General features: G+C 41.9%; 1 protein-coding gene across 8 annotated transcripts in view, besides 2 other annotated features; it reads right to left on the bottom strand.

Annotated features, from left to right (window-relative positions):
- BCAS3 (BCAS3 microtubule associated cell migration factor) overlaps positions 1-21,340 on the bottom strand; it is a 714,981-nt gene that overhangs the window by 135,498 nt on the left and 558,143 nt on the right. The gene's annotated exons all lie outside the window — the stretch shown is intronic.
- Positions 11,083-11,608: an enhancer, noted in NCBI's record as "OCT4-NANOG-H3K27ac hESC enhancer chr17:59323087-59323612 (GRCh37/hg19 assembly coordinates)". NCBI's record gives its function as "activates a minimal SCP1, AML or CMV promoter by ChIP-STARR-seq in naive and primed H9 embryonic stem cells {active_cell/tissue: H9 hESC(naive and primed)}" and the evidence as "EXISTENCE:reporter gene assay evidence [ECO:0000049][PMID:30033119]".
- Positions 11,609-12,134: an enhancer, noted in NCBI's record as "OCT4-NANOG-H3K27ac hESC enhancer chr17:59322561-59323086 (GRCh37/hg19 assembly coordinates)". NCBI's record gives its function as "activates a minimal SCP1, AML or CMV promoter by ChIP-STARR-seq in naive and primed H9 embryonic stem cells {active_cell/tissue: H9 hESC(naive and primed)}" and the evidence as "EXISTENCE:reporter gene assay evidence [ECO:0000049][PMID:30033119]".

Raw genomic sequence — 21,340 nt, 5'->3', positions numbered from 1 at the left:
TTCTTCTGCCTTAGCCTCCTGCGTAGCTGGGACTACAGGCGTGTGGCCACCACACCCAGCTAATTTTTGTATTATTAGTAGAGATGGGGTTTCACCATATTGGCCAGGCTGGTCTCAAACTCCTGACCTCGTGATCTGCCTGCCTCGGCCTCCCAAAGTGCTGGGGTTACAGGCGTGAGCCACCACGCCTGGCCAGTTCTGCCCTTTATTAGCAATGTGATTTTAGAGTTTCTTTCCCTAAGCCTTATCAGCAAAATGGACATGACAACACCGATCGCAAAGATTGAGATCTAAATGGAAATCATGTGAGCGGAAATGCTGTGTAAATAAAAAGCATAATGTAAATTTTTTTTTAAATCCAAAAATCTTGATTTTGGTAGAGAAAATACCTCAAAGAGAACCTAGGTTCACCTCCAAGGAATTACTCAGAGACTTATTTATATGCAGTACTAAGGTTCACCTTTTCTTGTAAGTGGCTCAAATACCATCTGCATGGGCTGGGGTTGAGGCCTGAGAAGATCACTTTGGGTCCTTGTGCCATGGCATACCAACAACCCTGAAAGCCTCAGGTTTCTTTTGAAATGATTATTTTTGTGTTACTCTGTCTCCAGTTTATCTCTGTATCCAAGGCTCTCTGGTGACACAATTCACTGGTTTCAAAGGCAGGAAGTGGGCAACAACCCTGGACACATAGCACTCCATGGACAAAGACACCTAAACAAAACCAAACGGCCAGGCGCGGTGGCTCACGCCTGTAATCCCAGCACTTTGGGAGGCCCAGGTGGGTGGATCACTTGAGGCCAGGAGTTTGAGACCGGCCTGGCAAACATGGCAAAACCCTGTCTCTACTAAAAATACAAAAATTAGCCAGGTATGGTGGCCCACGCCTGTAATCCCAGCTACTCAGGAGGCTGAGACAGGAGAATCACTTGAACCCCAGAGGCGGAGGTTGCAGTGAGCCTTGATCACACCGCTGCACTCCAGCCTGGGCGAGAGAGTGAAACTCTGCCTCAAAAAATAAAAATAAAATAAAATAAATAAAAATAAATGAAAAACAAACAAACAAACAAACAAACAAACAAAAACCAAACTACCTCTTGGCTTGAAGATGGAAGGCTTGACAACCCCAGGTAGTCTGATCTAAGTGAGGGTCATTTTGAAGGTAAATATAGTACTTTCATGTTAAAACAGAAACCTCAGTTACATAAAGCCATTGGCCCATTTCTCCTGATTACCAGTAGAGGCTGATGGAGGCTGGAAAACATTTATTAACTGAAAGGTTAAAAAAAATCAGAAAATAAATATGGTACAATTATGACTCGGAGTTTCAGAAAATAACTTGTCAGTTTGACGAGACTCAATTTTCAGGGGAAAAGAGAGCAGCATTTCCCATCTCTAAAGTCTAGGAGCAAATCTCTTCATAGTACTTGGTAAGAAAACCATCCACCTTGAAGTCCAGCCCCAGCCACTTCTTCAATTAGGTGTCACTCACTGAACATCTAAACAAACTGCCAGGACTTTACCACAAATAACTTAGGGAAAAGAAAGCTGTGATAAGGTTCTCCACAAGAGCAGCTACATCCGGAACCCTTTAGCACTAAAACCCTGCACAGTGTGGTCAAATGAAGAAATAGTCTAGGCTTCCAAAAGAATAAGAATTCTGATGGAGAAGTGTCACTCAATACAGACACGGCACTTAAGCCAACTACCCAGACAAAAGTACAAAGCCAAGTCTACTCTGATTTCAGCACTAACATTGATTCCACAGGGTGCAAAGATGTGCCCACTGTGTTTCTGGAGAAGGATGGATAGACTTAGGGGTATTGATGCGCTACAAAAGCCTCTGTCCCCTTGGTAGTCATACCAGTTTCCTGAGATACTCTCAAGACATCATCAAATTAAGAAGAAATGTAGGAAAGTGTGATGTGGAAACTAAAGAAGGTATATTCTGGAGATCTGGAGGCTGTAAGGGAAAGAAACTTGGGCACATTCATTTAATCTCTCTTCTTACCTTGTCGGGTGACCTGGAGATGAGGAGTTATGCTTGAGATCTTTTCTTTGGCAACTGGGAATGAGATTAGCTGGGAGAAATACTTTTGACAAGCACCAGAGAAGAGAAAACTTAACTCTCGGATAGAGATGTGGATGGAGAATTGGTTCCAATCTCTGGTAGTTCCAAAAAGAGCAACATGTGAAACTTCAATAAGTCATTGTGCTCTCCCTGTGACAATTACAGCTCTTTGAAAATCTGCCTTAGTGCCTTCAGAACAAATTGAGATTAATGAAACCAAAGTCCCAAAGAGGAAAATACCAGGAAAAAGAAAGTAGGATGACACAACAGGGCTGTTTCAATGTAACCAGGCAATGTCAGAATTTTAAAAATTTAAAAGGAAAAAGCTAAAATGTTCTCACTGAATTTCTAGTTGGTTTTTCCAGGTAATGGTTTTGTTGTTATTGTATTGTTCTTGGTCAGGATGAACGACTTTTCCAGCAATCATATACTATACTCACTGGGTATTTAAAGCAGTATAAATTTTCTAATCCTTTTTTTTTTTTCTGAGACGGAGTCTCACTCTGTCACCAGGCTGGAGTGCAGTGGCGCAATCTCGGCTCACTGCAACCTCCACCTCCCAGGTTCAAGTGATTCTCTTACCTCAGCCTCCTGAGTAGCTGGGACTACAGGCGCCCACCACCACGCCCAGCTAATTTTTGTATTTTTAGTAGAGAAGGGGTTTCACCATGTTGGCCAGGCTGGTCTCCATCTCTTGACCCTGTGATCCGCCCGCCACGGCCTCCCAAAGTGCCAGGATTACAGGCGTGAGCCACCGCGCCCCGCCATAAATTTTCTAATCTTAAAGTTGATCAAACATTTTAGCAAAACAGGAAAACTGACTTGACACTAGGGCAAAGGAGAGATAAGAACTCAAAGGAAAAAACAATTGAGGCATCAACTAAGAAAGTAATTTTACCTTCTAAATCAGTGAGCCTTGTATTAAGCAAAGAAATGTGCATGTCAGAGTTGTTTAAGCATTCTGAAAGCAAGCCCTCTTTACGGCAGAAGTGTTCTGTGAGGCCTGAAGGGACACTGCTGTGGGTGAGGCAGGAGCAGCCCAGCAGGGTTAAATCTCCTGAAGGTTTTAAATAAAAAACAAACATCCACTTAACTTTTATAGGGGATTGCTCTCTAATAATACCTAAGGAAGGAGGCCGGCTCTCTTGAGTTTTTTCCTCGGGCTTGTCTCCATGCTGACTGAGGAACCAGGTCAAAATGAGGGTTTTAAGTAGGGTCCCAGTGGGCCTGATGTAGAAGAAAGGCTAAAGGAATTTTAGATCTTATGAGTATTATCCTAAGGCTCTTTCTTCTCCAGTTTTCCTTTTATATGTAAATTAGACAAGAGAGCTCTACTCAATTACCAAGTAAGGCTAGCAAGACATAAGGCAAGTCACTTTTTCTTTCTGCGCTTCAGTTTTCCCCCATGTAAACCGTGGAGGCCGAACTGTAATGTATACTTAATCATCTCTAAAGTCTCTTTCAACTAAAACTATACAACAAAAATGGAAAGGCAAAACAAAGCAAAAACAACAATAACATTAAAATCCACCTCTGCACCTCTGTTCCACAGCTGGAATCTGAGCACAGGACTTTATGAAGCACTGGCCCAGAGGCATCCGAGATTCATCTTCCCCTCTACTCAGCTGCCCCTCCTCCAATCCTGGGTCTGACCTTCTACTACCATAGAGCTCATACGCCATGCCTAGGCCGTAGGCCAAGTTCCTGGGACTGCTGATGTAGCAACTGTAGAAATAGTAGTAGCAATAAGACAGATGATAGTATAATGCTAATAATACTATTATTAATGGGAATAGATAACATTATTGAGCCCTTATTCCATACCAGGCACTGTAAATGTTACACATGTTTATTCTATCAATCCTTGTAACTCTGTGAAGCAGACATTGATTATATATATATATATTCTCTCCAACTCCTGACCTCAGGTGATCCGCCTGCCTCGGCCTCCCAAAGTGTTGGGATTACAGGCGTGAGCCACCGGGCCCAGCCCAGGCATTGATATTATCTCCATTTTGTAGACAAGGAAACTGAGACTGAGACATAGAACAGTTAGGCAAGTAGTAGGAACAAATGGTATAGCAACGGGCCGGGCTCAGTGGCTCATGCCTGTAATCCCAGGCCTTTGGGAGGCCGAGGCAAGTGGATCACCTGAGGTCAGGAGTTCGAGACCAGCCTGGTCAACATGGTGGAACCCCATCCCTACTACAAAATACAAAATTAGGCATGGTAGCACATGCCTGTGATCCCAGCTACTTAGGAGGCTGAGGCAGGAGAATAGCTGGAACCCAGGAGGTGGAGGTTGCAGTGAGCTGAGATCACACCACTGCACTCCAGCCTGGGCAACAGAGTAAGACTCCATCTCAAAAAAAAAAAAAAAATGTATAGGAACAGATTACTGGACAGCTTTCTAGAGTCAAAATCCAAGGAAGAAAGGGCAGCTTAGCCCAGTGAGGTAGAAGCCAGTGTGTTTAGCAGACTAAGAGCTGACAGATATGGATTCCACAATTGGTTCTATCACTATGGTTGTAAGCAGGTCAATGTCCTTGTCTATAAGCAGAGGGCAGAGGATGAGATAACCTTTAAGGCCCTTTTCACCTCTGCCACTCTACATGAGGAACCATGTTCCATAAGGACTCAAGGACTCAGCAACTGTTTAATTCCCAGGCTTTTTTTTTTTTTAAGTCCTTCACTTCTATTTTAAAAACTTGCATGTTCCCGTGGCCCTGGAATGCCTGCCTCCGGCCCCTCTGGAGCCCTGGGTTATGTGAAAGCAGCCGTGCCAAGCTGGCCCATGGGCGGGGCTGAGTCTTCCTGGCTGGCTTGTGACATGTTCTTGACGTACTGTGTGGTCAAGAAGCTGGAACTGGGGGGGCTGAACAAGGGCCAAGCCTTGCACTTCAGCTTCCTGACCTGGCAGCCATTCAGAGAGACCCTGCTAAGTGCTATTTCCTAAATACACTCTCTTTTCATAACAATCTTACCACATTGCTTTCCTTTACAAGCGCTCTTAAAAAAGAGAACTGGACTCCTTCTGGTTAATCTACACAGACTACATTTGGAAACCATCAGAAACTGAACTCTAAACAAAACGTTATTAATGTGTTGTAATCTGCCCTCTATGTTGCAGATGAAAAGAAAATGTTTTATAGTTTTGGAGCATACGTTTTAATTGCCTTTTAAGAGTGCATATACTTTTAGTACTTCGTGTTATAAAACTGTAGTATCTGTTTCTTGATAACTGTTGAGTGATCTCAGCTATTTTTATTAGTTTTTTTCTTTATCCTTTTCTCTCTTTTTCTTCTAAACTGCCACCCGTGTAAAGTTCCTTGAGATCAAGCTTGATAGAAGGCTCACATATTTGGGATCTTCATTATAAAGAGCTTCTTTACAACCTCCACCTCACTATAAAACACTTGTTCCTGAAAATGAGTTCTATAAACAAAGATGGAGTGGGTAGCTTTGTCTAATAATCCAGTATAGCTGGGAACCTAGCAGTCTAGCCTTTTCCCAGTTGCTATTGCTTTTTTATGGGGGCCAGATTATCTGCAGAGATCTGATGTTCTTGCTACTTTTCTCAACTGTACAGCCTTGTCCCAAGAGACCAACATATCAGTCATCAACCCAGAGGTCTCAAGGGCAGCATCTTGGATGGACCAGGATCCAGTCTTTCTTTTCTTTTTTTTTTTTTTGAGGTGGAGTTTCGCTCTTGTTGCCCAGGCTGGAGTGGAATGGCGCAATCTCGGCTCACTGCAACCTCTGCATCCCGCGTTCAAGTGATTCTCCTGCCTCAGCCTCCCTAGTAGTTGGGATTATAGGCGCCCGCCACCAGGCCCGGCTAATTTTTTGTATTTTTAGTAGAGACGGGGTTTCGCCATATTGGCCAGGATGGTCTCAAACTCTGACCTCAGGTGATCCGCCCGCCTCAGCCTCCCAGAGTGCTGGGATTACAGGCATGAGCCACCACACCCAGCCCAGTCTTTTTTTCAGCAAGGAATCCCAAATTCATTAGAATCAGGCCTTGAGTTAACAGACTCTCCACCAGCTTATCATCAGCCTGACAAATACTGTCTGGGACACCAGGCTGAGGCCTCCAATGTCTCACCTTCCAGCTGGGCAAGCACTGCCCAATTCTTGCACCAGTGATGTAAGACTGGCTCACAGGAAATGAAATGACCTTTCTGAATGAAGGGTTTCCTGGGGGCAGGGCTGGAGGGATGAGGGTGTTTCACCATCTGAATTCTTGGGGAGGAGGAAGTAGTAGAATTAGACACTGGTCTCCCAAGGGGTCCATAGTCTTAAGACCTCCCGCTCATGTGAAGTACCACAAAGGCACCCACAAGTCATAAAACCTTTCTGAGATTGTCTAATGTAGGATAATGTTCAAAAACCAGACTGATAGAGTCCTTGGGCCAGAAGGGCCCCATAAAGATTACCTGGTTGATCACTCGTTTTCAGGTGAGGAAGCTGAAGCCAAGGTGGGCAGTAACTCGCCCAAGGTCTCAGTCTACAAGTATCCAGAGCTCAGCTTAAAAAAGCCTGGTTTCTAGGTCACATACTCACAGCATGTACATGGGTTAGTAAAGGAGAGATCACTGAAAAGAATGCCTTTTAGCTGTCCGAAAACGGGAGACTGTGCCCCTTAATTTCAGTTTCTTTTTAGAGATAATCATCTTCCTTATCTCAAACATTAACTCAAATGTTTCTTATGATGTCTCCAGTGCTTCCCTAATGCCTTCATGACTCACTGGATATTACGGCTTGATACAGCACAGAGCAGTGCTCAGTTACAACCTTGGTTTCTAAAGCAACTCTTTAAAATGAAAAACAAGCCTTCTCTGGGTCCTCTTTCCATCTCGTACAATATATTGAAAATCCTTTCAATGGCTTAGCAGGTCCTATTTTCACAACATGTCAGAACTCACAAGTGTATGAAGAAGCCGTTGTTTATAAATCTTCTCATGTTTAAAATTACCAGGATTGGTAATTAGGTTTTCTTCCCTATCCTCCCTTTGGTAACCTTTTACTTCATATTTAGCACATTGCTGAGGGGGATAAACGATCTAGGAACACTGAGGTCTTATGTTTGTCAAATCATATGCAGACAATTATGAAGGCAAAGCTCTCTACTGGGCCCAGGGTATGAACTTTCCTTAAACTTCCACCAGACAAACCCAGGGCAAGGGGCCTGGTGTCTTCGACCTTCCTTATAGAAAAGCAGGGCCATTTCGTAACCTTCTCTAGTTTTACAATGGCTGCTCTTATTTGGTATCTTGTTTTCTGATCCTCTTTAAGCCTGCCTCATTCAATTTCTGATTTGTAAACTCTGGGGCAGGTGATATTTTAGTACCCTAAGAAATCATCTCAAAAGGGAGCTTTAAAAGCTTTAAATGTGATTGGGTCATCACATTTTTTTTGTATTCCATGGGTCTATCAGGTAGATAACAGAAAGTTTTTTCCCTTTTGACAGATAACAGATTAAGGTGTAGTAATTATCAAAATAATGGGCAGAGAGCAGCTACTTAAACATCCTTGGAAATAACTCCTGTGACCATGATTTCACAAGTATTTCTAAATAATTCTGAGCTTCCTAAAACAACACGAGAAAAAGAATTTTCCCTTAGATCAGTTAAGGGAAAACTCTTCCATTCTGTAGCTTTTGTATTGGCGTTCCTAAAACAAACTATTTCTTCAGCCAGAGACACAATTCTATGTTGGGACACTAGAGTCCATCTCTGCTGTTGAGATCTCTCTCCTTCAGATTTTAGCAATATAGTTTTGGGTGTGTTTCATGACCTTTTGTGCTAGCAAATAAGCCTTTGGAGGATTAAAATTAACTTTTCTCATCCTAGTTTAAGGAGTGCTCTGCTCTGGGAACATCAAAAAAAGGCACAGGCCTGAACTGAGCCAAATACCCACTCTAGCAGTGCTGGTATTATTTTCAAGTTTCTATTTTATTTTATTTATTTATTTTTGAGATGGAGTTTCACTCTTGTTGCCCAGGCTGGAGTGCAGTGGTGTGATCTCGGCTCACTGCAGCCTCTGCCTCCTGGGTTCAAGTGATTCTCCTGCCTCAGCCTCCCGAGTAGCTGGGATTACAGGCACCCGCCACCATTCCCGGCTAATTTTTTGTATTTTTAGTAGAGATGGGGTTTCACCATGTTGGCCAGGCTGGTCTCAAACTCCTCACCTCAGGGGATCTACCTGCCTCGGCCTCCCAAAGTTCTGGGATTACAGGCGTGAGCCACCAAGCCCAGCCAAGTTTCTTATTTTAAAAACAAATTTTTGCAGGAATAGTAGAATACACAGGAAAAGAATATATATTCATCTAAACAACGTCTTATCTTTAAGAGCAAAGAAGAAGGAAGTTTTATAAGTATTTGACAGTATACTACTTCTTTAAGATACTCCAAGTGGTTTGAAGTGTAAAAGGTGAATATACTGCTTCAAACCTCTTGACCTACAGGTCTAAAATAGTCGCTCATCTTGTCCTATGTGTCCTAGTACAGACTAAATAGAATATTCAAAGAAGTCCTGGTATCATTTGTGTTAGGGGCCTTAAAAATCAGGCTATCAGGGTTGGTCATCTGCCACAAAGCTGGCTAAATTCCCACCATGATACACTTCTGAAATAACCATTCAGGACTGAGGTCACTGCTACTTCCTCCCTGCTGAGGAAGCACAAACCAGACAAATTCTCACCAGATGGACTTTGCACTCTAATCTTGTATATTACCCCTCCTCCCAAGGCCCAAGGCTCTCTGGGAATTCATGCCAGGCTGGGACTTAGACCTTCAACTGCCAGTATCTTTACGAGTTGTTTTCTTTGAAAGACCTGAGAAATGGGTTGCAATAATCATAGGAATGGTCCTTTAGATTTTCTTTTTGGAATTTTTTAAAGTAGTATCAGCCACAATTCACAAATATATTCCTTTACCCAAGACAGAAAACATAGAGACAAATTATGTTAAACCATCCAATCCAACTCAGAAGAAAAAATCAGGCCTTTATGTGCTCCAGTCTTCAGAAGGACTCAAATAGGGTACCACCTACAAAAGAGATAGGATCAGAAGAAGTTCCCTTGGTGGCTTTGTTGGGGAAAGGATCCAAGAAGTGCTCAGAAAAGCAGAAAGCTCTCCAAAAGAAGCTAATTCAAAAGAGATTTCCAAGTCAACATCCAAACCAAAGAGATGTGGAAAAATTCAGAAAAGCATCCTAACAAAACATCCCAACAAAGTACCCCAACTCCTTTTTGTAAACCCACAACTGGTAGGAACAAAGTTCCAATGTGACAGCCTTTCAATGCCGCAAGTTGTAACCACAAGTGCGGCTGCTCTTCTAACATTATTTTCTTTGGGAAAATTACATGGGTGGGTAGGGAAGCAAACCCAAGAGGACTGCAGTTTACAAGGCCTGAGGCCTGGTTGGTGAGATCCAAGGAACCTAGAGGCGGGGGCCTGATGGTAGATAGGAGAAAACTAAGCTGATTGCACAAAAGGGCTAAGATCTCCAGCCACTCATCAGGTAGAGTATGCTGCTCTCTACTTGCAAAACTGCTTAATAAAATTTTACTGCCAAGTCAAAAGAAGAAACATCTGCTGTAGTCAAGAGCAGCTGTGGTCGGCAATAAGGGACTTGGCACATGGTCAATGCTGCTCTTGCTGGTAGGTGGTATTGTGGTCACCAGTAATTACTTTGGAGAATTTCATGGAGTCAAGGATAACTAAATGGACAAAGAACATTTTATTTTACTTTCTATCTTTAGCCCAAGAGCAAAAATCGTGACATGTACAGAATTCAGAAGCCCAATGAATCCATACTTTTTGTGGCAGAACTTTTTACCTCAAAGACTAGAAATACTTAAATATAAGTATTTTAAACAATATATTTTTGATAAGTGACCTCTCCACTCATTATTTCTGATTGAACGGTTCCTGAAGATTATACTAGTTTTCAAGTGTTTTCCTTCTGAAAGATGTATTATAGAATACTATAAGAAAAATGTGAAAATTATACTTAGCAAATCAATAAATGGTTCAGGTTTTTAAAAACCTCATCTTTATCAAATTTGCATGCTATCGTCAAAGTTAAATAACTTTACATTGAGTAGGAATTGGAGTGTAAATAAAAGTCTGATGTATTCATCTGTGATAATTTCTCATGGAATGATGAATGTCAGAAAGTAGCAGTGAAATTAATATACACTGTACTTAAAAAATTAAACACTTGGGAAATAACCCTTTGAGCCACTGGAAAATGATAAAGTCTAAGACATTTCAATCAAGTTAATTTCGGTACTAAAGCAATGCATTTTTCCCACCAGAAACTATATGAAAAAACAAATTAAACAAAATGGGTCTCCGAATGATGGGATAACATCAGGCTCATGGAAAACATCATGATTGCTTTGTCAATTAGGTTATCACACACATACACACACACACACACACACACACACACACACACACACTCTCACTCAAAGGCAAAACTACCCATATTCATTTTAAATCATGTCAAGGCTGAATGGTTGATATTGTATTAAAACAAAAGCATGACTTGCATTTTAATAAAGAAAAGGAAATTCTCTTGACAACCAACAGAGCTAACTTGTAGCAACTGGTCTAATTCCAGTACACAGGCTCCAGTGATGCCGTGTCAGGTGCCACCCCTAGCCTACACCTAACACCAAGGCTCCTACATTGACTTCTGGTTGGTTGCGGAAGTAAAAGGAGAGACCTAGGGGACTGGGGGAAACAACATAAATCTTTTTTTTTTTTTTTTTTTTTTTTTTCTGAGACAGTCTTGCTCTGTTACCCAGGCTGGTGTGCAGTGGCACCATCTCGAGTCTTAGCAACCTCTGCTTCTGTGGTCCTCTCGCCTCAGCCTCCTCAATAGCTGGGACTACAGGCACATGCCACCATGACTGGCTAATTTTTGTATTTTTTGTAGAGATGGGGTTTCGTCATGTTGCCCAGGCTGGTCTTGAACTCCTGGACTCAAGCCATCTGCCTGCCTCAGCCTCCCAAAGTGCTGGGATTACAAGCGTGAGCCACTGTACCCGGCCATAGCAACCTATTTAAAAGCTATTCCTGACTTGACCATCTCCAGAAAGCCATCTTAGATCAGTTATGAGGTCGTGATAGTTGTAAGACTCTCCCAGGATAGAAGAGAATTCCTGTCAGTGTGTGAGGTAGGCCAAATCTGGGTGTTAGAAGGCAGAATTCTAAAGTCTCAGCCCTCCCAATCACTGTGGAACCCTGGGTGGATCACCTGAGCTCTCACAGCTTCAGTTTTATTCACGTTAGGGGAGGTGACCTTCCAGCTTCAGCCTCACGCTGAGTGCACCAATAATGGACCCCTGGATTCTGAAGAGCTGCCCATCAGCTCCACAGCCTTCCTGACCTTGCACTAGGCAGTAGGTACCTCCACTCAACAACAATCTCTTTTTTTTTCTTTCAATGAGACAGAACTTCATTAACATGAAAAAGAAGTACTAAATGTAGGTGCTCCCTTAGGAACTGCTTTTTCTGAGAGCCCAATAGCTCATCTTGTTATGTTAAAGCCTACCATCTGAAACCACTTGAATGTTAGGCAGGGAGGTACTTCTACAACTTTGATTTGAACATATACAATTTTTCTACCAAAGAGAAAAACTAATTGACACATTGTTTGGAAACAACTTTTCACTTTTTAAAATGAACAGTTTTATACAGCTCAATAATATTTGCTTAAATACTTCCTAAAATTAAGCCGAGTGTGGTAGTACATGCCTGTAGTACCAGCTTCTCGGGGGGCTGAGGTGAGAGGATCACTTGAGCCCAGGAGTTGAATCCAGCCTTGGCAACATAACAAGACCCTGTCTCTAAAAAATAAATAAAAATAAATACTTACTGATATCGTTTGGCTGTGTCTCCACCCAAATCTCATCTTGACTTGTAGTTCCCATAATCCCCATGTGTCCTGGGAGGGACCAGGTGGAGATAATTGAATCATGGGGGCAGTTTCCCCATCCTGTTCTTGTTTTAGTGAGTTGGTTCTCACGAGATCTGATGGTTTTCTAAGGGGCTTCCCCCTTCACTGGGCACTCATTCTTCTCTCTGCAACCACGTGAAGAAGGACGTGTTTGCTTCCCCTTCCGCCACGATTTTAAGTTTCCTGAGGCCTCCCCAGCCATGCAGAACAGTGAGTCCATTAAACCTCTTTCCTTTATAAATTACCCAGTCTCGGCTATGTCCTTACAGCAGCGTGAGAATGGACTGATACACTTACTAAAATTATAGTCTATTACACCACATTTAGAAAGATGAATAATGAAATCACAAAATACTATGCAATTGCAGTTAAATCTTTAAAAAATTGCTCCTTCCCTATATATCCTTTTTTATTTATTTATTTTTTTTGAGACGGAGTCTCACTCTGTTGCTCAGGCTGGGGTACAGTGGCGCGATCTCGGCTCACTGCAAGCTCTGCCTCCTGGGTTCATGCCATTCTCCTGCCTCATTCTCCCAAGTAACTGGGACTACAGGTGCCCACCACCACGCCCTGCTAATTTTTTGTATTTTTAGTAGAGATGAAGTTTCACCGTGTTAGCCAGGATGGTCTCGATCTCCTGACCTCGTGATCCGCCCGCTTTGGCCTCCCAAAGTGCTGGGATTACAGGCATGAGCCACCGCGCCGGGCCTATATATCCAATTTTTAAAAATATAGACTGAATAAAGTATGTGAGATTTGGGTAATTTTAACAGTAAATTAAAATAATACTCTGAATTTTACCTATTGTTATTCTTTTGTAACACATATTTTTGTTGACTTCTAGTCACCCTGTTTCCAAACTGTCTTTGTTCATGATATTCACAATATAGTGCTAAGTAAAAAAGCAAAGGAAAACACATTCATTACTGGACAGGTAAGACTCATTACCTAATGGTAAATAAGCTCAGTGTGATTTCATTTTACAAACAATAGCGTATATATGTGTGTATACAAATGCATAGAAGAATCTTAATAAATACCATAATGTTAATAGTTGTTAACTGTAGGTAAGGAAATTACAAGTGATTTTAGTTTTCTTTTTTCTTCTGTTTTTTCTTAAGCTTTTTAAATAATAAATATGTATTACTTGAGTTAAAAAAAGAGGTTTAAAAATGCTTTAATTTGACATATTATTCTTTTAAAACTTGAAGTAATTAGCATATTAAAACTCATCCCTTTGGGAGGCTGAGACAGGGAGAATCACTTGAGGCCAGGAGTTCAGGACCAGCTGGGGCAACATAGCAAGACTCTGTCTCTTGAAAAAAAAAACTTAAAAAATTAGCAGGTTGTGGTAGTGCACACTGATATTCCCAGCTACTTGGGAGGCCCAGGTGGGAGGGCTGCTTGAGCCTAGGAGTTTGAGGCTGCAGAGACCTATGGTCATACCAGCGCACTCCAGCCTGGTTGACAGAGCAGATTCCAACTCTTTAGGAAAGAACCAAAACACTCATCCCTCAACTACATAAAATAGTTATAAGTTATTATTTTCCCTGAAGTCTCTAGCAGTCACTTCGTCCATGATGGATATTTCTGGCAGGGAACTGTGCTACATGAAGGAAGTGAATGAAAGTCCTGAAAATCAGGATAATGGTGATTACCCTTGATTCAATCAAACTGTACTCAATTCTAAGTCTTCTTATACTGTCTTTATATTTTCTTGAGACACACTTATGACATTCCTCAAAAAATTAAAAATAAAACCACCATATGACCCAGCAGTCCCACTGCTGGGTGTATATATCAAAAGGAACTGAAATGTGGATCTCGAAGAGGTATCTCCACTTCACTGTATGGAACGTTCACTGTAGCATTATGCACAATAGTCAAGATGTAGAAGCAAACTAAATGTCCATCCATGAATGAATGGATAAAGAAAATATAGTATATAGACACAATGGAATATTACTCAGCTTTAAATAAGAAAGAGATTCTGCCAGAGCAGCAGGTAACTTTTGGAGGTGATGGATAGGTATATACGTATCTCCATACTCATCACAGTGTAGACATTAAATGTGTATAGCAGTAGGGCGCAGTGGCTCATGCCTGTAATCCCAGCACTTTGGGAGGCCGTGGCGGGCGGATCACGAGGTCAGGAGATGGAGGCCATCTTGGCCAACATGGTGAAACCCCATCTCTACTAAAAATACAAAAATTAGATGGGTGTGGTGGTGCGCGCCTGTAGTCCCAGCTACTTGGGAGGCTGAGGCAGGAGAATTGCTTGAACCCAAGAGGCAGAGGTTGCAGTGAGCCGAGATCGCACCATTGCACTCCAACCTGGTGACATGGTGACAGAGCAAGACTCCGTCTCAAAAAAAAAAAAAGTGTATAGCTTTTTGTATGTCAATCATATCTCAATAAAGTTTTTTGGGTTTTTTTGTTTTTTTTTAAAGAATTCCATTTGGAAGAAATTGGTGTTAATTCATGAAGGCAGTGAAGGAGGCAATAATCTTTAGAGAACTGTGATAAGCTGTGATCACTATTACTTCAATTCAACATTGGCTCAGAAAAAGAATAAACTTATGTAAGCAAAAACAAGGCTGACTGGTAGAAGATAGGCTCTGGACATATATTTTCCCTTAGCTTCTTAAATTCCAGACTCTTTGAATCTTATGAGATTTTAACCACAGGTTCTGCCATAGCTTTTTGCAAATTTGCATTCAGTGATGTCCTTCTAAATGGGAGAAGGGTCTAGGCATCACAGGCGGGTCTTGTCACGTCTAAAGGATCTCATATGAAGGGAGGAGGGCTACACTCTATGCCTAGCAACATTAACCAAACGTGTATTTGGTCTAAAATAGACTTCCAAGTTACTCAAACCTCACTATAAATATGTGTTTTAAGGTACTGTGAGACTTGTCAAAGGGCTAACCAGCACACATCTCAAGGTCTCCTTTAGGTCAGACCCTGATATTTACACTGTCTTCCTGATGTTTGGATTTTTTTTTTTTTTTTTTGAGACAGAGTTTCACATTTGCTGCCCAGGATGGAGTGCAATGGTGCAATCCTGGCTCACTGCAACCTCCACCTTCCAGGTTCAAGCAATTCTCTTGCCTCAGCCTCCTGAGTAGCTGGGATTACTGGCATGCGCCACCACGCCCAGTTAATTTTGTATTTTTAGTAGAGACGGGGTTTCTCCATGTTGGTCAGGCTGGTTTCGAATTCCCAACCTCAGGTGATCTGCCCGCCTCGGCCTCCCAAAGTGCTGGAATTACAGGTGTGAGCCACCACACCCAGCCAATGTTTGGATTCTTTACCTTGGATAACAAGAGCCATTTCTGGTCCCAGATATACTTAACACTGAGAAATGATTCCTCTTTAGTAAACAACAAACAAACAAGAAAAAACCTGAATATTATACTATTATGAAAGCTCTCAGATTTCTCAGAAACATTTAACATTTATTCAACAAAATTTTATTTTACATGTTAAATGATGTTAGTAGAGAAAAAATAGGTAAGTACATTTTTTAGACTCATTTTACCTCCAAACTATTATTCTTATTATTATTTTTTGAGATGGAGTCTCCCTCTGTTGCCCAGGCTGGAGTGCACTGGCACGATCTCGGCTCACTGCAAGCTCTGGCTCCTGGGTTCACGCCATTTTCCTGCCTCATCCTCCCGAGTAGCTGGGACTACAGGCACCCGCCACCACGGCCGGCTAATTTTTTTTTGTAATTTTTTTTTAGTAGAGGTGGGGTTTCACCGTGTTAGCGAGGATGGTCTTGATCTCCTGACCTCGTGATCCGCCTGCCTCGGCCTCCCAAAGTGTTGGGATTACAGGGGTGAGCCACTGCGCAGGCCCAAACTATTATTTTATTAAGCTTATTTACTTTGACTTCTCTTTCATCATTAGCATAAACAGTTGGCTAAGGTGTGTGTGTTTTAAGTCACAAGATGAAACAAGCAGAGGACAACAGAGCCAAAGGAAGACGTGGGTACTTGGTGGTAAACAGGCTCACTCACTAGCTTCATCACTTGCTAAGCTAAATACCAACCTACAAATTCGTAGTAATAACAGAGTCCTCACTGACTTTTGCAATCACATTCAAATAGTCAAGCCTCTAATATTAAATCCACATATTCAGTGTGCCCACTATATGAGGGTCCCCCAAAGAAAGCTTAACTGTATTGTAATTGCTATTCAGAGTCTTTTGAAGGGTAAGTGATGGAGAGTGAGAACTGAGGGGGCGGAAGCTCTAGAAGGTTTCTCATGGCAAAAATCCTGTCATGCCCAAACAAGAGAAAGCTCCCCAGTAAGAGTGGCATATTGAAATCTAATCAAAAGCCTAAACTATTTTTGTCTTTGATTTCATCAAATCATTCTAAGAATAACAGCCCTTGGTACCTTTTAAAAATGCTTCTTTTCGGGAAGAAAGTTTTAGTTAAGATATACTTCTGTGTGTCTGAGATCAATTTAAAAGAAATGGACCCTTTAGTTATAGGGCTCAATGATATAGGTAAATGAATCTGTTCTAGTGAATAACATAAAATCTGTTTTAAACTTTTTAGTGTATGTGTGCTAAGGCTGATAAGTCTCAGATAAATGTCAGCTACACTTGTTCCTTTTTATTATTTATTTATTGAGATGGAGTCTCTGTTGCCTAGGCTGGAGTGCAGTGGCACAATCTCAGCTCACTGCAACCTCTGCTTCCTGAGTTCAAGCGATTCTCCTGCCTCAGCCTCCAGAGTAGCTGGGATTACAGGCGTGCGCCACCACGCCTGGCTATTTTTTTTTGTATTTTTAGTAGAGATGGGGTTTCACCATGTTGGCCAGGCTGGTCTCAAACTCCTGGCCTCAAGTGATCCACCCGCCTTAGCCTCCCAAAGTGCTGGGGTTACAGGTGTGACCCACTGTGCTTGGCCCCACTTGTTCCTTTTTAATATCATGGTATAGTGAAAAGAATATGGACCTTGGAATCAGAGAAACCTGAGTTCAAAGCCTGTCCCTACCACTTATCTTCTCTTAGGCTGTTTTTGAATCTGTGAAATAAAAATACTATTCTACCCGCCAGGATGGTTGTAAGTAGAAGAAATTATGTCTGTAGAGTGCCTAGAGGAGTGCCTATGATAGAGCAGGCATTCAATAAATGGTAGCTCCTCCTCCTGCTGCTGCTGCTGCTGCTGTTGAGACAGCATGGTTACAGATCTCAAACATCTACAAGATGCTTTTCTCTTCACCAAAACACCTGTCACCAGGAGAATGTAAATGCCCACACAGAAAACCCCAATCAAAATATTTTTATCACACATATATTTAACATTCAAGTGCAGAACTTTTAGGGCTGAGAACTTCCAACACAACAATTATGGCTTCACATACCTGAGTGTTCTTTTAAAAAAATATATTCACATTTAAAAGGTCAAGTTGTAAAGCCATTTGATTAAAATAGTAATAAAAAAGTAAACATTAACTCACAATTTCTCCTTTGGTCTTTACTATTCCAACTGGTATCAACTCCAGAATAAGTTGCACCTTAAGACATTTTAGGATTATCTTGATTAAAATCTTTAAGTTCTTAATTTTAAGTAGGAAAAAACTAATCTCTGAAAGCCAACTTTAATACTTTTAGCATGATCTAGATCTTAACAGTTGCATGTTATCCTCTGCTACTCCTAAAACATTAACACATTGAAACATGATCACTCAGAGTAAATGAAGTTCTCTTTTTATATTAATCTTGGAGCCACTGATAAAATGCAAATGATTAACGTCAGAAAGAAAGAATTACTCATCACTAGACCAAATTTCCAAAAGCTTCATAAGTTACAGAAAGCGTTCACAAAGGTTTCAGAACTATCTGCTAGAGGCTTTGCAAATTGAATTAAAAACAAAACAAAAAACCCCAAAACAAAAAGCTGAAAATCTGTAGAGCTAATCATTATTTCAAACTCAGGCTTTCCTCTTGGATATATAACTATCTTTGATGGTACTGCTATAAAAACTAAGATCTTCTCTTCAAATCTGATATGCAGAGAATCTGTTCTAACCCAAACTAAATAAAGATGTTGGTGCCAATCAACTCCTACTATCTATACTATGGTAACCTGCTATTTTATTCCTTTTTGCTTTTGCATTTCAAAAATGAGCTCACTAAATCAGTACCTGATTGTCTCCTGAGAACTGTGAATGCCAACCTACCTGGCACACCTAGGAAAAACTGGCTCAAAGGTATGCTATATTGCTTCTATTGCTAAAAATATACACGAACAAATTAAAAAAATCTTAGGTACCCAAGCATTTTGGACTTCTGTTTGCTTGTCTGGACTATCTGCAATATCCATTTCGATTTTTGCTATTTCTAGCCATGAAGCCATCACAGGAGGTTAGCCTCAGGGCCCTGAGAGGAAATTTGGCTTCCACCTCTGGGACACACGTTTCAGTGCTTATGTCTGACTGACCCTGCCAATCACCCCTCCCAGAAGCCACAAGCCTGGCTTACAATAACAGAGTATATCAAAGAGGACAGGAAAGAAAACAAGACAGCAGCAGGGTCAGCAGAGGATAAGAATACGGTGAAGACACCCCGTGGAAACTGGGAAATGGAGAGCCATACACCAATGGTAGCAAATGTGTCGCTCAGAAAAAGCAAGGCCATAAAGACATAAGACCTGCCAAAGCCAGCTCTGCACTACCATAAATCACTGTCAGAAATAGCTATGAGGGCAGATTATCTCATTATGATGGAATTGGTCAAGCAGAAATACTCTTGTGCCTGGGTGTGGTGGCTCACAACTGTAATCCCAGCACTTTGGGAGGCTGAGGCGGGTGGATCACGAGGTCAGGAGTTCGAGACCAGCCTGGCCAACGTGGTGAAACCCCATCTCTACTAAAAATACAAAAATTAGCCAGGTGTGGTGGCAGGCGCCTGTAATCCCAGCTACTCAGGAGGTTGAGGCAGGAAAATCGCTTGAAACTGGAAGGCGGAGGTTGCAGTGAGCCAAGATCATGCCACTGCGCTCCAGCCTGAGCAACAAGAGCGAAACTCCATCTCAAAAAAAAAAAACCCGAAAAACTGCCAGGTGTGGTGGCGGGTGCCTGTAATCCCAGCTACTCAGGAGGCTGAGGTAGGAAAATCGCTTGAACCCAGGAGGTGGAGTTTGCAGTGAGCCAAGATTGTGCCTCTGTACTCCAGCCTGGGCGACAAAAGTGAAACTCTGTCTCACAAAACAAAAACAAAAACAAAACTCTTGTTCATACAAAGTTATAACCCGTATATTTAAACCAACTCAGGGTGGTGATCATAACTGTATCTTCTCCAACATAAAAATCACCCCTGTAAAGCAATTCTCTTTACCATCATCATCCAATTCAGGAATATGGGTGATCCATTAGAGTCAAGCTTCCTGCCTCCATATAAAAATATGGCTAATCTATTTTGCATTATGATCATAAAGTCAGCCAATTTAAAAGGAATAGAGAGTAATACAAAAAGCAGTTAAGAGCTGGGGGTCTACGGTCAGTCCAGATTTCAATCGTGACTCTGCTGCTTATGGGCTGAGCAGTCTTGGGAAAGTTACTTCGTTTCTCTGAGTCTCTATTTTCTTCCAGAATTATTTTGAGTATTCAGTGTCCCACGTACTGTATCCAGAGCTGGTTCCTGCCAGTGGATTCAGGGTCTTGCTGACTTCAAGAATGAAGCTGCGGACCTTCGAGGTGAGTGTTACAGCTCTTAAAGGTGGCAAGGACCCAAACAGTGAGCAGCCACAAGATTTATTGTGAAGAGCAAAAGAACCAGCTTCCACAGCCTGCTAGGGGGCCTCAGTGGGTTGCCGCTGCTGGCGGGGATGGCCAGCTTTTATTCCTTTATTTGTCCCCACCCATGTTCCGTTTCTGTCCTATCAGAATGCCCTTTTTTCAATCCTCCTTGCGATTGGCTACTTTTAGGATCCTGATTGGTGCATTTTACAGAGCACTGATTGGGGCATTTTACAGAGCACTGATTGGTGTGCTTTACAGAGCGCTGATTGGTGCATTTTACAATCCTTTGCTAGCTACAGAGTGCTGATTGGTACATGTTACAATCCCCTTGCTAGCTGCAGAGTGCTGATTGGTGTGTTTTACAATCCTCTTGTAAGACAGAAAAGTTCTCCAAGTCCCCACTCTACCCAGAAGTCCAGCTGGCTTCACCTCTCAGTATGGTAACCTTTCAATACATGTTAACTTATTATTATTTGACAGCTATGTAAAAAAGATAACTTTTTAATGGCTTCCTCTTGCTTTACCAAAGGAAGTCCACTCTCAGGCCTGGCATCCTAAGTCCGCTATGCAGAGGCTATTCTACTTTTTCAGTCTTCTCTTTTATTACCTCCCTTCACATCCAGGATCCAACTTTCCTGCCTCCAATTTTTCCTTTGTGTTGTTCCTGCTGCATAAAACCACTTTTAGAGCCACATTTAAAGATTCAATCCTACTTTCCCACAAAGTCAGCTCAAATCATACCTTCTCCAAAAAGCCTTTTTTTTTTTTACCTTCTCCATCATCCCTCCACTTACAACATTTTGAAACCTATTTACAATTGACTACTTTATACCATCTTTTTATAGCCATTTGTATATAAGTAGAGTACTAACACAGGGCTTTGTCCATAGTAACACTTAATAAAGGTTACAGTGGCCGGATGCGGTGGCTCACGCCTGTAATCCCAGCACTTTGGGAGGCCGAGGCGGGTGGATCACGAGGTCAGGAGATCGAGACCACCCTGGCTAACACAGTGAAACCCCGTCTCTACTAAAAATACAAAAAAATTAGCCAGGCATGGTGGCGGGTGCCTATAGTCCCAGCTATTCAGGAGGCTGAGGCAGGACAATTGGTTGAACCTGGGAGGCAGAGGTTGCAGTGAGCTGAGATCACACCGCTGCACTCCAGCCTGGGTGACAGAGCGAGACTCCATCTCAAAACAAAAAATGTTGTTAAAGTAACGAATAAATAAAAATTATTATCTCCAACATAAGATCTAAGAAGAAGAGCAACTTGCCCCTGTCCTCCCACTTTCCTACAGAACACCACGAAAATGCCACTGCCTCATGAACTCTGACAGGAGTGGGGACAGATGTTGCCAGGATTCTGACGTATGATAGCTGGCACTTTTCTGTTTGCACCCAAGGAGTTAAACTGAGTCCTGCGGAGATAAAAATCTCTGGTTTTATTGTGCAGTAAGGCTGCCTGACAAACGAAGATCCAGCTGCAATTGTAACATTCCAAGCTCACAAGGCACCAAGTTTTACTAACTATAATTTA

The sequence above is a fragment of the Homo sapiens genome, chromosome 17, assembly GCF_000001405.40.
Source record: "Homo sapiens chromosome 17, GRCh38.p14 Primary Assembly".
NCBI classification, from domain to species: domain Eukaryota; kingdom Metazoa; phylum Chordata; class Mammalia; order Primates; family Hominidae; genus Homo; species Homo sapiens.
The sequence above is the reverse complement of the archived record's forward strand: the minus strand, read 5'-3'. Positions and strand labels throughout refer to the sequence as shown.